Genomic DNA, 16657 nt, shown 5'->3' on the forward strand with positions numbered 1-16657 from the left:
AACTGCACAGACTGCCTTGAGCTGGGATCTTGGTTCTTTCCTGCCTTTAGACTTGAACTGAAATTCTGGCTTTTTCTGGGTCTTGAGCCTGCCAGCACTGGAACATTAACTACGCCACGGGCTCTTCTGGGTCTCCAGTTTGCCAACTTCTCTTTGTGGGCCTTGTCTGTCTTTGTATATGTACATCTTATTGGTTCTGTTTCTGTGGAGAACCCTGACCAATACAAAGTTGATGTAATCACCCAAGGCATTGAATTCACACAAATTAGAGATTTTAACCAAAATTAAGTCTCTATAATTCCAAGTATGTAAGTTATCACAAGGAACAGGGAAGCCTCAGGAAAAGGAACACAGCTCTCCAGGTGCTTCCTTATGATGTTGAGTATATTTTATGGCCAAAATTAAAATATGTGTCTTCCATGTAATAACTGTGGCCACATAAATTAAACACACACACACACACACATGCTAAATATTTCAGTCAAGGAACATCTCCATTTTGCTCAGATGGTAACAAAGCTTACATGACATTTTCCCAGAAGCCATGCCTAGTCAATGTCACCAACTTGTTTGACAGGAAGTGTGCCATTACCATGCTTACAAGCAGCATAGATCAGGTTGACCATCTGTCTTCTTTCCTGTAGAGGTGAATGCCCTCCCATCATTGAGGACAGGTGGCTGAGCTGCTGCTTTCATCATTTATTTCCAAGTACTGATATGCATGATCCCATAGGTAGCTGAAGTAGGGGCAAGCAAAATAAATAAGTAAATAAATAATAAAGCTTTATGAAAAAGAAAAACAGGTTATAGGATAAAGCTTCATTTGTGCAAAATATTTATATAATGAACTATATGTGCATTTTTATATTTTAAAAATGCATACTATAGATGCATTTTTAAATGTTTCACCCATTACACTTGTTACAGAGCTTTGCATATTATAGGTATTCTGTATGTATGTATGGAAAGAGTGCTTAAATCTACTGTTAAAATAATACATGAAACAATCAAAAACCGTATGTCATATATAATAATATAACATTATTTCAAAATTAAATGTTGCCCCAAAACCCCATGAAAGTAATTCTTTTGGACAAATTTTGCTGGAATAGGTTAGACTGAGTAGAAAACATTTCACAAAAATATTACGGGGTTCTTATTTACCCATGAACATTGATGGAGGGCTGAAAGAGAACAAAAAATATCAATGCCCATTTCATAAATTGCTGGAGAAATTTGCTATGAATATTGAAATCATGAGTTTTATTATTCTTCTACTTCTCCTAATGCACATGCATATCCCATCTTTGGCTCACATTGTGAATATTCACTATTCTCAACTGATTTTTCTCAAAGAGTAAAAATCTAAAGGTGATATTTTTGGTTAAGGGTGTTATGAGAAAATCGAAATACTTCTTATATGATCAGATAAAATAAGAGGAAATCATGCAAATATAAAGTTTAATAACATTTAGTAAAGCAATGTTCCTCTAAAGTTTAACTCTAAAGCTTAGAGTGTAGGAAGGAAAAATAATTTTCAAAATTTGCAAGAAAAATGGGTGCAACAATATGGAAGTTTGTCTCTTTCTTCCCCCTTCTCCTCCTCCTCCTTCTCTTTCTCTTATTTTTCTCCTGCTTATTATGCTGTTCCTCCTCTGTCCCCTAGCATTCTTGATTATCTACTGTTATGCGAAAAATATCCTATCAGATTTGATGAATAAATAACAGTAACATCTCTAATTTATGTATTTTTTACACTGTAAGAAAATTGGCTGGCAGATTTTTATTTTAGATATCTTATTTTTGAGCATCTATAATATGGCACACAATGAATGTGCCTAATTAAGTGAACCAAAATGTTATTAAGAAGATGTAGTGAGTTTTTAATGACACTATTTCATGAAATATACTTCCTGTACACTACATCTCATTGAAATGTAAGAAAATTGTTCAGTGAGTATATCATTCTACCTAGAACTTTTTTTTTTTGAGCTGGATTTAATGTGGTTAGGAATTTATTGCTTGTAAAACATATTTGTAATTCCTGGAATTAGTTCATTAATGTAACAGGTAATTCTCAAAAACAGAAAACAATTTGAATATATATTAGGAAATATTATGGAGGAAACTGTATTTTAAAACCAGAGAGTAGAAAATTTAAGAGTGAATTAGATAGAATATATTGTTCTCTCACAGTATGTTTTTATATTATCAATTTTATTCCATTCATACCATTCTCTGTTCATAGACTGCAGTGTCCTCTGTCTGCTTCACACCCTACAGGACATACAAACATACTTCTTTTTTTTTTTTTTTTTTTTTTTTTTGAGACAGAGTCTCCGTCTGTTGCGCGGGCTGGAGTGCAGTGGTACAATCTCGGCTCACTGCAACCTCCGCCTCCCAGGTTCAAGCAATTCTGTTGCCTCAGCCTCCCCAGTAGCTAGGATTACAGGCACCTGCCACCGCTCCCAGCTAATTTTTGTATTTTTAGTGGAGACAGGGTTTCACCATGTTGGCCGGGATGGTCCCGATCTCTTGACCTCGTGATCCGTCTGCCTCGGCCTCTCAAAGTGCTGGGATTACAGGTGTGAGCCACCGCTCCCAGGCATACACTTTTGCATTAACATTCTACTTATCTACAGCATTAAGAAATGTCAGAGAGGATTCTTCCCTGAAGTATGTACCTTTTATTACATCATTACTTTTTATAAACAGCATTTTAAGATTATTCAATCATTGGTATGCATTCCCATCACATTTATTTCTAGTTGTTTTGTTGCAAATTAGTATTGCACTAATATGCTTTCAATATCCCATAAAGTTTCTGCAGGGATCTCTTATGTACAGTAGTCCCTCCTTATTTGCAGTTTCATTTTCTGCAGATTTAGTTACCTGCAATCAAGTCCAAAAGTATTAAATGGAAAATTCTGGAAATAAGCAATTCATAGTTTTAAATTTCATGTGGTTCTGAGTAGTGGGATGAAATCTCACACCATCTATTTGGTTCTCCTCCATCACAAGAAGAAGAGTGAGTATAGTACAGTAAGATATGTTGAGAGAGAGAGAGATCATATTCATGATCTCTTTTATTACAGAATGTTGTTATAATTGTTCTATTTTATTATTAGTTCTTACAGTTAATCTCTTCATGTGCCTAATTTATGAATTAAATTTTATCATAAGTATGTTAGTATAGAAAAAAATATAATACAGTTTATATAGGGTTCAGGACTATCTGAGGTAACAGGCATCTCCTGGAGGTCTTGGAATGCATCCACCAAAGATAATGGGGGACTACTGTAATAGCCGTATTACCTTTTTTACAAGTGTTTTCTTACAGAGGTTGAAAATTTTTTTCAATGGCATTAAAATGTAGTATTTAATCTGCTTGAATTTCACAGATTTTTTTCAGATTTTGAGTAACTCATATTTCTATCGTATTAGAACATTAATATACGAGATGATCCCCGTTTTTAGTTCTTCACACACTCCCACCCAATCTGGCATAATTATTCACAGCTTCTTTTATCTTAGGAAGAGAAAGCACAACCTAGTTTCATGCATTCCTCATTTTCTCCATAGAATATTTCATAATACTTGTTGAAAAAACATCATGTACTCTAAATTTCACCTAAGGATTCAAAATTATTTGGCCTTACTTAAAAGATATTTAAGTATGCATTAAAGAAAAATAACTGCCGTGTTATAATAATACTTTCTGTGTTATTTTTGAAGCTTGGGAAATACACCTTTCTGAAAATTGAATTATTTAATAATTTTCTTCTATTAAATTTTTAAAAAGTAACTGATAAAATGCAGCTGGGTGAGTTTTTTTATTAAAAGCCTTACAAACGATTGTTCAGATGTTAGTGATAGTTAAAACTGAATCAACTTTCAAATCAACAGAAAAATTACCTTAATAGATTATATACATAAAAATATAAACTGTTTCATAAGCCACCTGTCAATCAATGATCACAGAAATGTTACTCACCAAAACAACCAAAATATTGGATACTTCCAAAGGCATTGGTAGTTCAGTGATAGAATTCTTGCCTAAATATTGGAAACAGTTTTATTATCTGTTTTTATAATATTTTAGTCTGTTATTTTTCAACATTAAGAAATATAAAACTGAAGAAAGATTGCGTATCAACACAAAAGTCAGCATGTCTTTTACATGAAAACTTTTTTTAAAAAATAAACATTTTGTTTCAGGCTTACATATGCAGGTTTGCTATATGGGTAAATGACCTGTGGCAAGGGTTTTGGTGTACAGTTAATAAGCATGGTACCTGACTGGTAGTTTTTTGGTCCTCAGCCTCCTCCCACCCGTCACCCTTAAGTTATAATTTCTGAAAATTCTTTAGGTTTGCAAATCATTGATGTAGGAAAAATATTCTCCAAAAATTCCCTGATTCCATAAATCATTGTTCTTGAAGCCAAAAAAAGTAAACTGATCAAACCACAGTTTTATATGATTGGAAAAATGTTCACTTGAACATTGACAAAATAAAGATTACCTAAGAGATTATATACTTTTAAAACTAAAAATATCACTTTAACCTTTCTCTTATTATTTATTTACACAACGTTATGAATCAAGATTCAGAGAATTAGTATTAGAAATCCATCCTCAGGATGTGCACGCCAGAACTGGTGAATCTGGGCTCTATTAAAACATATTACATTATTCAAGATGAACAGTCATGAAACACATGAATCATAAACTTAAATTTTTTAAAAGTTAGAAAAGAAAAAAATAATAAAGTACACATTTTGCCTATTTCTAATGTCTTTCCTTTATAGTTGTAAAGGGATATAAACTGTATGTTAGTTCATACATAGCCTATACGAACAAATAAAATACTTCCAAAAATACATTGCATAGCTTAGTGTCTCCTGTGGCTATAATAATTCTTTATTTTGAAAAGAAAAAAACTTTTAACCTCTATAATGGAGTTTAATGGTTCAATGATTGAACCGCTGAAAGAGGCTGCTGAACTTGAAGCTATTATACTTGGTATTTCTGTGCTTTGTTTAGTGATGCTGGGACTGCATCTCAGCAAGACACATCTCTTTTTGTTTTACTCACCTTTCAATAGATTCTGTTAATAAGAAGACCCACAAGGAGATTGGAAGGCAGGAAGGTAGAGAAAGGACTGAATCTGTTTCATTTGTAAGCTGTTCCCAACAGCTTCTCCCCAGAAATTAACGTAAAAACCGGCAGTAGCTTCTTTCAGCTCACCCAAGGCTAGTCTCATGCATTCTCCCGCGAGGGGTGCCCGCAAGAGCCTGGTAACATCCTGTCCTGAAGGTCTTAGCCCCATTTCATGGGATCCCTTCTCCAATTTTCTAGGTTTCCAGAACCCCAACTTCCTCCTGTTGCTCCTCTAGCCTGACATCTTTCTTTGTTACCTGAATGATTCTCTTTTGCTTTGTTAGCTTTCCAGCACCCATATAACAAATTACACTAACTTACTTCTGTGAAAATACCTCATCTGGTTTCTGTTTTCTTGACTACATCTTTACCAAACAAACTATTCTTCCTTTCCTCCTTATTACACATTTTCTCCTTTCCTCTCTGTCTTCCTGCCCTCCAGTGAGGCGTTAGGATCCTTCCCAACACATACTTGCACTCAAGTCATTATTCCAAACATTGCTCCTAGGAACACAAACTAAGAAATATCGTAAAAATATTCATGCAGACTGGTTCAAGTTTTGCTGCTTTCAAGATACAAAGGTAGTGCCTGGATATTTTGCAGCAGCAGCTATTTTGATTTTGATATTATGGGACATCTGAAGGGTAGTCAAAATTTTGTTTAACACATACTTGACTGAGTTTTAATCAGGTGTCTGGCACTGCTCAAAGTGTAGAAGGAACATAGGTAAAAGACAATCTGTTTTCAAAAGCCTAAGAAGGAAAAGAGGATGGACTATATATATATATATATAAAATTTTTGTTTTGTTGTGTTTTGTTTTGTTTTGTTTTGTTTTGTTTGAGACAGAGTCTCGCTCCATCGCCCAGGCTGAAGTGTGATCTCGGCTCACTGCAAGCTCTGCCTCCTGGGTTCATGCCATTCTCCTGCCTCAACCTCCCGAATAGCTGGGACTACAAGCGCCTGCCACCAGGCCCAGCTAATTTTTTGTATTTTTTAGTAGAGACGGGGTTTCACCGTGTTAGCCAGGATGGTCTCCATCTCCTGACCTCGTGATCCACCGCCTCGGCCTCCCAAAATGCTGGGATTACAGGCGTGAGCCACTGCGCCAGGCTAGGATGGACTATTTTTTAGCAGAAATTCTGGGAATCATGGCAGTGTGAGAAAATCGTGTTGTAAATTAATTATTATTTAAGTGATTATTAACATAGGTGGAAATAATTCAAATAAAACATTTCTACTTATAGCTAATATGTTTCAGAACACAATGACGCTGAGGTTCAGGGGAATGATACGCTCATAGTTGTAAATACTGCTTATTCACACTATTGAGGGCTACAATAATATTTAATTAATTTAATGTAATTTTAAGTAAATGTCGATTAAAATGTAAATTTTCGTTTTTAATGTTATTGTAGCCTCAATAGTGTGGATTTTTATGATGCTAGTTAATTTTTTAGATTAGAAAACGGGATTGAATTCTTAGAATATTTGTTTAATGATATATTTTTATTTGAGACATACTTAAGTCTAGATCCAGGTTTTCTCACTTCAAATACATTTTCTCTCAAACATAATTATTATCTTAAGGAAGATGTCTTACTGAGGCTCGTTTCTATCACATTATGCGGTTGACAGCTCTCCATGGGTCCTTCAGATGACCACATACAACAGCATATGACAGACACACTTCCGGCCACCAGCTTAACTTTTATTATATCCTTAGGTTGTTCATGCCTATTTCTGAATAGCTTGCCTTACTGCCCTTTTGGAATCTCTAAAACACAGACACTTTGCCCTCACTTGTTCCATCTTCTACTACTTTCTGGCCCTTTGATATTGTAAGCACTTCGAATCATGTTACAAACTTTCATTTTCTTAAATTTCACTTCAAATTTCCATTGCGTTTTCACAGCCTCAGGTTACTTTAGATTTTTTCCTCTTTTGTCCTGATTTGAAAAATCCACAGGAGTCCCTTCATCTGGTTTTTTCATTCTTGTGTACTATAGATTCTCCTCCTTCCTGGTTTACCCTGATCTTTTGGACAAAACTCAGATGTAATATTTTACTTATTTGAGAAATAAAAAGCTTGAAATGTTATTTCCAGTCATTCTCAATGCAACATATTGCTCTTATATGTTTGGATTTAATACATTTAAATGTATTTATCTCTAGCGATTTTTTACCTATAACATAAACACTAATTTTAGCAATAAACCACTAATTCTGAGTCAAGTTATTACTGATAATAATACTTTAAAACATTCAATTAGTTTTGAAAAGTATATATCAATATCATTGAAATAAACTTCATCTAACTTTTCGAGGGTATAATCGTTGGCAGGTAGAATTTATTTTTTAGCTTTGTAGTGAAAGTACACATTTATATACTACAATGTCATCATCTTTTTTGGAGATAAGGATTGCAGCGTTTTTAGAAATACAGCACATGGACTAATTGTTGGCAGCATTCCTTCTTGGACTAATATCTTACTCTCATCAGAGCAAGATTGAGAAAGCTTAGGTCATCCTTTATTTCCCAAAGGTCACTATTTCCAACTGTGGATGCATTTTTAAGACTAACACGACTAAGAAAGAATTTCACAGGCATGGCACACTTCCATAAGTGTTCTTTCTACACTCCCACAAAAATTATTTCTCTATCCACTTAGTAGAATGTGACCCATCGATGACTTTTATAATGTTGTTGTCCTCTTCTGTGTGCATACTATGCGAGAGTTGGCTGTACCTCTAATTTTTGTTTTCATCCCAGAATTATTTTCCAAAGTACCCTAATAAGTTTATCATCTGAATATTTAAAATAATACACTTAAATTTTTCTTTCATCCATACATTTGTTTATCCAACAGATATTTATTCAACTCCTACCATTTACCATGCATTGCAAATATTTGTAAGTTGGTTGTTAGGCACTTTTTTGTCTTTTTATGGGAAACTATGGAATAGTAATTGAGTAAGAAGATGGAAAATAAGAAGGGAGAAAAATTAGAAATGAATTAGTCTAATCCTTTCTATATTTGTTGTTGTTGTTGTAACATTGTATTACTAAAGCCCATGTTAAGTAACTTGTTCAAAGTCACTGTAGGGATTTACCAGAAAAATAGCAAAGGGGACTCCACATCTCCTAATTCTTCATCCAATGTATTTTCCAACAATCCAGCACTTTCTAAACTCATAGTTGGATTAAGTCAATATCAATACCATTATTTTAAAAATTCATTCATTCATACAACAAATATTTAGTGAATGCCTACTGTGTGACAACAACTGATTTGTTAACATGGCATACAGACAAAATAACATTATCATTGCAACTATTAAATACATGAATTATAGTGTGTGCCAAATGGTTTTATGTACCATGGAAAAAGAAAGGCAACAGATTAAGGGGGATTGGCATGCAGGGAATGAGTTTGGGGACTACTGAAATTTGAAAAATGTAGTCCATGAATTTCATCTAAGAGGTATCATTTCAGTGAAGAATTAAAGGAGATAAAAAGTTGAGTAAGTGGACATTCGGGGGAACAACAACTCAGTACAGGAAAAAGGCAGTGCAAAGTCTTCGAAGTGTGCCAGAGGAACAGACACACGGAAGCCAATGTAGCTGGAGCTGAAAGAGTGAGTCATGGAAGACAAGGTTGAAGAAGGAGTGGGTAACCCGGAAGCCTTTGGGTCATCGGAAGGGATTTGTGTTTTACCTGGATAGAACTGAGAACTACCTCAAGGTTTTAAGCCAAGGATTGACATGACTTACATCACCTTATTTACTGACAAGACATTCTAAAGGCACAACGGTGAAAGAAGGTCAACCCATCTGGTGGTCTGTCCAGTAAACCAAGCTCACTTCAGGGCAGTCAGATTAGGTTGCTACATCTTATGGGGAGTACGGAGGCAAGAAAATAGTTTCTTTCAGCAAAATTATAGCATAAGAACTCATTTCTGTCACTACAAAGGCAAAGACCCTAGTGGCATCCCAGGTTTCAAATATGAAAAATGAGACTTTCCAAAAAGCGAAATAGTGAGCAAAATGACATCCAGGTAGATGTGACTTTCAGGGGGGACAGTACTAGATATAGGTCTAAGGTCAGAATGGTTCTTCGTAGCTCTGGTCTTGCAACAAATTGCTCAGAAAGGGGAGCTATATGAAAAACTTCAGACTCCTTTTATTTACTTACTTAAGAATACTGTCCCTAAATTCATACACACACACACACATATACATATATATATATGTCTTTCTGAAGCCCATGAACCCAGATGTATTTTAGAATGTAGAAATTTGGAAATACTTTCAGAAGCAATATGCGTATCTACTGTGTATTACATACAAATTCTAGTGAAGTCTGCAATCAAGCACAGCTTTATGTTCACAGCAAATCCTATGAATATTCACACTAAGTGGGTAAGAAAAACTATAAATAATCTCAAATCTATTTATTCGCTAAGGGAATACAGAGCAGGTCAAATTTTACTGCCCATCGAGGAATAAAAACATTCAATTTTTTAGAGGGTTTTGGATTTTGTAATCACACGTAAGTGATTAAGCCCTTGTATTTTATAAGATATTTTATCTCAGTTGCTGCAAATGTATAGTCACTTTAACCTAGCACTAGCTTAATTAAAGAATACAAATGTACATTGTAGGTTAAGCCTTAAGTTCATGCTCAATGTTATGCACGGTCTTGACATCTGGTGAATGCAGGCTGCCTAAAGAATTAGAAAGCAATTTAGAACTTCTTCGAATAGAAATACTGTGAAAAGACTGAGATTTAGTTTGACAAGTCTATAATGAGACTATCTGTATAGAAAAGCTTAAGCTCTTTGATTTTTATCTGACCTGTGTTTGAATATTGGCTGAGTTGAAAAAAAGATATTGACTATCTTTAATTTGCATCTGATCACCAGTTGAATAATGAAATATACATAAAATACATAGGCTATGCTCAATTGAAACTCGTTCAAAATGTGGTAGTTTGTTAAAGGATGTGTTTCTGGCAGAATGAGAAACATAAAACACATACAGACATGTTAGTATATTTTTTTAATGATGTCCAGAGAATGATTCACAATGTATTTTGTGTTGCCATAATTTTATAATACTGGAGATACTTGCTTTCTATCATTTTAAAAATATATTATTCTAAAGCCTCTGAAACAGAGAAACTTCAGTCGCTTCCACAAAAGTATAACTCACTTGACATTAGATTTATTGAGGAAAAGAAGCTATTATACATGTTTAATATTTTATGTTCTGGGCTACTTTGCTATTAAATTTAAATATTTGGAAGGTAGATTCATAAAATATGGGTGTGATAAAATACTTATTCTATGAACACTTTCTACCAGTTTATTTTGGTAAACGTTGAGTTACTCCAATTATTTTTACTTTTCAAATAGAGCATTTTTATTAACATTGTAAGCAGTGAAAACATTCATCTGGAATTTCTTTTTCTTTACCTATTCTTATAGGAAATACAGAAAAAGATGACTTTTTCTTATACTACTGGAACTATTATGATTTTTTTCCTTCTGCTACATAAATTTAAGGTATTTTTCAAAGCCCATCCTTTTCAGCAAGAAAGCATTCTCAAATTTAGTAATGTTTAAAATCTTCCTAATATTCCTTAAGTCCTTGGGAAGAAAAGACAATGAAAAACATTATCAAAGATAAATATTAGCATACATTTAAAAATCTATCTTCACCTGCATTTGTCTCAAGATAATTGTATTGATGTTATAACATTTTTTAAGACACTGTCTTATTTATTGCAGCACTGCTCATAATAGCCAAAATGTGAAATCAACCCAAGCATCCATCAATGGATGATTAGATTTAAAAATGTGATGTATATACACGATGGCAAAACATGAATGAACTTAGAGAACATTAAGTGGGATAAGCAGGGAACAAAAGGACAAATGCTGTATGATCTCACTCATATGTAGAATTTTTAAAAATTGATCTTGTAGAAGTAAGGAGTAGAATAGTGGTTATCAGATTCTGGAGAGAGTAAGGCGAGAGATTGTTCTCTTAGTACAAAGGTACTGTTGGATAGGAGGAGTAAGTTCTAGTGTTCTATTGCACAATAGGGTGACTATAGTTAACAATCATATATTGTATATTTCAAAAGAGCTAAAAGAGAGGATTCTGAATGTTCTCACCACAAAGAAACAAGTGTTTGAGGTGATAGATATCCTAATTACCCTGATTTGATCATTATACAATGTATACATATATGTAAAATATCACAATGTACCATAAATGAGTAGGATTATTCATCAATTAAAGACATTGACACTTTAAAAAATATATATTTTTGGTTCTCAAACAGATGTGAGGGTTATGTCTAATATCTTTAAACACATCTTGGCTTTAAACATGTTTACCAGCTATGGCTTATTTATTCCCAGATTTTTCAAGTTTCTTCCTTTTTCATCTAACCTTTTGCCCTCTCTATTGACATTGGTCTTTGAAAAGTTTGTATAAGAATACCAAAAGCATTTTTATATGAGTTCTGCCAACTTTATTTTGTAGTCTAGAAGTTATGTATCACGTATTTAAAAGTGCTTGAAAATAGCTGATGCATCTCTTTTTTCAAGATGATGCTAAAAGTCTCATCTAATTTAATGGTTGGAACAGTTCTTTACAAGTTATGTTGTAAAAATATTCATTAACATTGATGGAGAGTACTACTCAAACAGCAAAAATGTGTCTGTAAAAGCTTATTAAAATTCAGAGGCTCAAATAATGTAAGAATTCAAAATCTTTAGTAAAATTCAACTGCAGAGTTTCTATCAGATGCACATTTCAAAATGGAATTTGTTACAAATATGGTTCGTTTCTGAGTAACAATTAGTTTGTCGTGGTTTTAAATATAAAAGGTTTTCACATTAAAATTGACATTTGCAAAATGGTCGTTAATTTGCATAGGTTATAAAGCTAATGTGAAATTCAGATGGTCTTACTTAGTTCATAAGGGTAACCTAGCATGTTATTTAAAATTATTTTTCACTAAGATATTTTACTTGGGCTATAAAAATAATATTTCACACTTTATATAACTCTAATAAATTTGTGATAAACTGTGAAGTCTCCATATAATTCTTCCCGCCAAAATGCATTTTTCAAATTTTGAGATATCTTTTTAAGTACATATTATGCATTCTATTCTTAAGAAAATTACTTTTAATTATGTTTTTATATTTGCACATCTACTTCTCATGTACTGAATACATATAAATATATATGTGCTTTATTACTGCTGGGGAAAATTATACTTTATTGCTATGTATTAAAAATCTTGTAATGAATTAAAATTTGTTCTTTTTATAAAGTACTTTTATGTATTTGGAGCAGAAAACTAACTTATTGCCTAAGTTTTTTTCTGCCATATTGAAGCAAATTTTCTTTTTAATATATAGATAAGGAAAACAGGTCCAGAGAAGCTAACATTCATAGCAGAAAACCGTAAAATTATCTAATATTGCTAAATAATTAAGAATTAAACTAGAATGCTGTATTGTACGGGAGGTTACGTTTTTTAAATAATTGTAGTCAAACACTCTGACTGTAGTTATAATACTGGTAAGCCCAATGTTTCCAATAATAATTTGATAATGAAAAGCATTTCTCTCCCATTTCAGCAGAAAATTATGAAGAATGTCTTTGCAATATTGAATCAGATATCATTTTATGACAGAAAGTCTTACTCTTCAGAAAATAAATTATTCCTTAGTAAACACAGAAGATAAAATTATGGCTTGGAATACAAAAGAAATCACTATCAACAAATTTGTATTTTGGAGGAAGTAAAATCATTATTTATTCTGTTAGCACATTTTCATTTCTCATTTATTTTAACCTTTCAGTGCCTTTTTTCAAGGAAACTTAACGTGGTTTGTTAAGTTTTTTCATTTAAACCTCTTTAACTGAAAGTAACTAAAGAAATTAATCAAGGAAATGACATTATGGTGAATTTGTGTTTTCCAAAGTTTTCAGTTCATTGTATAATTTTATGTAAACATAAATTAATGCATATTTATAAAATCCTGCATTAATAAAATTTATCTTTGAACCCAAAAGTTAGTAGGTTATTAAAGAAAAGTAAGATATCTTGTTAGTTCTCCTAAAGCTAACACTAGTTTCTCTCAACTAAGTCCATAGAGTATGAGGTAATATTAAGAATGGAAAAAAATACCACTGAGAACGCCGGCATGAGATTTCCTTAATGTGCCCCCCAAATGACATTCTTTGATACTACTTTTATGCTATTTTGTTTCTGAAAACGTGCAATTCTTATAGTATTACATGAATTTTTAAAAATTCTGATCTGTTTAATATCAGCTAAAAACGATGTCTCATAATGAACACACACACACAAAGAACTGTGTCTATCTTAGATTTAAAAAAAAAACAACTAAACAAAAACAACAATAATGATGACAATCAATCTCCCTCTCTATTCCTCTAAGAGGTGAATAACAAATGGGGAATGTATTTGAAAGCCACACTCCCTCACAAACAGACAATATCCTCATAACTTATTCTCTGACTTTATTCTTCATGATTCTCATGTCTACACGTGGTCTCTCATCCTATTGCCCAGATATTTTAAAACTTTACCATTTTTAGTGCAGTCATTTGAAATAATAAATGTTGTCTTAATCTGCCCCTAGATGCCCTAATAAAATACCACAGACTGCCACACTGTGTGCTTTAAACATCAGATTATTTTCTCAAAGTCCCGGAGAATGGAAAGTCTAAGATTAAAGTGCCAAACAACTTGATTTTTGATGGGGGCTTTCCTTCTGGCTTGCAGATTGTAGTATTCCCCTGTGTCTTTACATGGAGGGAAAAAGACAAACAAACAAACAAACAAACCAAAAAACACCAATCTCTGTGCTGTTTCATCTTATAAGGACACTAATTCCATTGTCTCAAAAGCCCACCTGTATTAGGCCGTTCTCATGCTGCTAATAAAGACATACCCGAGACTGGGTAATTTATACAGTGAAGTGGTTTAATGGACTCACAGTTCCACATGGCTAGGGAAGCCTCACAATCATGGCGGAAGATGACAGACGAATAAGGGACATCTTACATGGCGGCAGGCAAGAGGGCATTTGCAGGGGAGCTCCACTTTATAAAACCACTAGATCCGGTGAGACTTATTCACTATCATGAGAACAGCATGGCAAAAACCCAGGATCATGATTCAGTTACCTCCCACAAGGTCCCTCCTTAGGCATGTGGGAATTATTACAATGCAAGGTGAGATTTGGGTGGAGACACGGAGCCAAGCCATATTTAACAACTTATTTTGACCGTATTTAACATCAATTACTTTCTTACTCAAAATGCAGCCACACTGCATTTTAGGACTTTCGCACATGAACTTTGGGGATGGAGGAGGGACACATACACACAGTCCCTAAAAATTATAAATTCCAGAAACAATATAATAATTTAAAGAATATATTTACACAATAGTATTTTTATTACTTAGGTTTCCATTAATTTTCTCTATTGTTTATATTGCCATCATTTAGAAAATTGGAACATAGATTATCCTTATATTAAATTTCCCAACTTCAAGTTTGTGTCTAATTTCTACACTCTCATTGTTGTGATGAAATTTTAATATAACTCTACTAAGGGCATTGATTTCACTAATCTTTTCCCCTTTTTAAATATACTTATGTATTAATAATGTTACAATCTATTTATAGGAGACATTATTAAAACACAGCCAAGAGAACTCAAAACCTAATGATCTGATTGATAAAACGTATGTATAAAGAACAGTAATCTAACCACCTGTGTTAGTCTGATAGGGCTGCCATAACAAAATACCATGGACTGGATAGCTTAAAAACAGAAATTGTTTTCTCACATTTCTTTAGGCCAGAAGTTGAAGATCAAGGTTTCAACAGGGTTGATGTCTCATGAGGACTCTCTTCTTGGCTTTCAGACATTTACCTTCTCACCGTGTCCCCACATGGCCTTTCCTCTGTGCACCTAGAAAGAGAGAGAGAGAGAGAACTCATTTATTGCTGGTGAGAATGCAAAATAATTGTCACTTTGGGAGACAATCTGACAGTTTCTTATAAAACTAAGCATACTGTTAACATACAAGCCAGCAATCATGCTATTTGGTCTGTACCTAGAGGAGCTGAAAGCTTTTGTCTGCACAAAAGCCTACATGCTGATAATTATAGCTTTGTTCATAATCCCCACTACTTGGTTGAAGCAACCAAGATGTCCTTCAGTAGGCATATGAATAAACAAACTGTGGTGCATCCTAACAATGGAATATTCTTCAGCACTAAAAGGAAATGAGCTATAAAGCCATGAAAAGACATAGAGTAATCTTAAGAGCACATAACAAAGTTAAGGAAGATAACCTGAAAAGGCTCCACACTATATGATTCCAACCACGTGACATCCTGGAAAAGTCAAAAACATAAAGACACTAAAAGGATCAGTAGTCACTAGGGTTTGGACTGGGAGAGAGGAAAGAGAGATGACCAGGCAGAGCACAGAAGATTTTTAGGGCACTAAAAATCCTCTATCTGATACATAATAATGGGTTCATGTCATTATATCTTTGTCCAACCCTATAAAATGTCTAACACCAAGAATGAACACAATGCAAATTCTGGGTGACAATGGTGTGTCAATGTAGGTTCATCAGTTGAAACAAATATACCACTCTAGTGGGGGATATTGATCATGGTAGAGATTATGCATGTGCTGAGACAGGGGAAATATAGGAACTCCGTACTTTCCTCTCAATTTTGATGTGAACCTAAAACTGTTCCAAAAACAAAATCTTTTAAAAAATGTCAGAAGCACTGAGAATATAATTTGAGAATCATATTGTCTCTGAGTGTACGGTTCCTACTTAGAATTTTGCACTGTATTTGCTTTCTCCAGAGCTGCATCACTGATCATGGCTAGCTTGTTATTTACTATGACACATAGCTGTGTTTCTGTCACACTTGCACATATTGTATTTTTGCATTTTAAAATTATTTTCCTCTCTAGTTATATTTCCTTCATCTTATCTTTAATGCATCTTGTCCTGTGTGTCTTTCTATTCTTAGAGGTCATTTTAAATTGTTACCCTATCCTCTCAGTTTTAAGCCACATCCTTTTTTCCTCTTGCTGTTTAATGTTATCTGAAGTTAAGGTGCACAGTTGATATTCTACTACCTTGATTTCAGAGTTTTTTCAGGTAAATGATTCACAGCTTAACACTGACCACGCATTTCTAAAAAATAAATGTAATTGATGCAGTAATCATTCTGGTTCACTTTAATTGATGACAGCATAGAACTTAAACTCATGTTTTTGTGTAAAGACTTCTAAATTTTTTCAATGGCTCCACACTACTGAAGTAAGTCCAATTTACTTTTGTTCTCATATTTGCCATTGTCTATTATTTGATCCCAATGTGTTTTTTTCAACTTTACC

General features: G+C 33.6%; 1 long non-coding RNA gene across 1 annotated transcript; it reads right to left on the reverse strand.

The window, feature by feature from the left end:
- Positions 1-255: 255 nt before the first annotated feature.
- On the reverse strand, positions 256-14282 carry LINC00317 (long intergenic non-protein coding RNA 317). The gene is made up of 3 exons (NR_038872.1): positions 14215-14282; positions 3995-4056; positions 256-737 (listed from the first exon to the last, which is right to left on the reverse strand). It is a non-coding gene; the product is annotated as a long intergenic non-protein coding RNA 317 (long non-coding RNA).
- Positions 14283-16657: the final 2375 nt, after the last annotated feature.

The sequence above is a fragment of the Homo sapiens genome, chromosome 21 (genome assembly GCF_000001405.40).
Source record: "Homo sapiens chromosome 21, GRCh38.p14 Primary Assembly".
Classification (NCBI taxonomy): domain Eukaryota; kingdom Metazoa; phylum Chordata; class Mammalia; order Primates; family Hominidae; genus Homo; species Homo sapiens.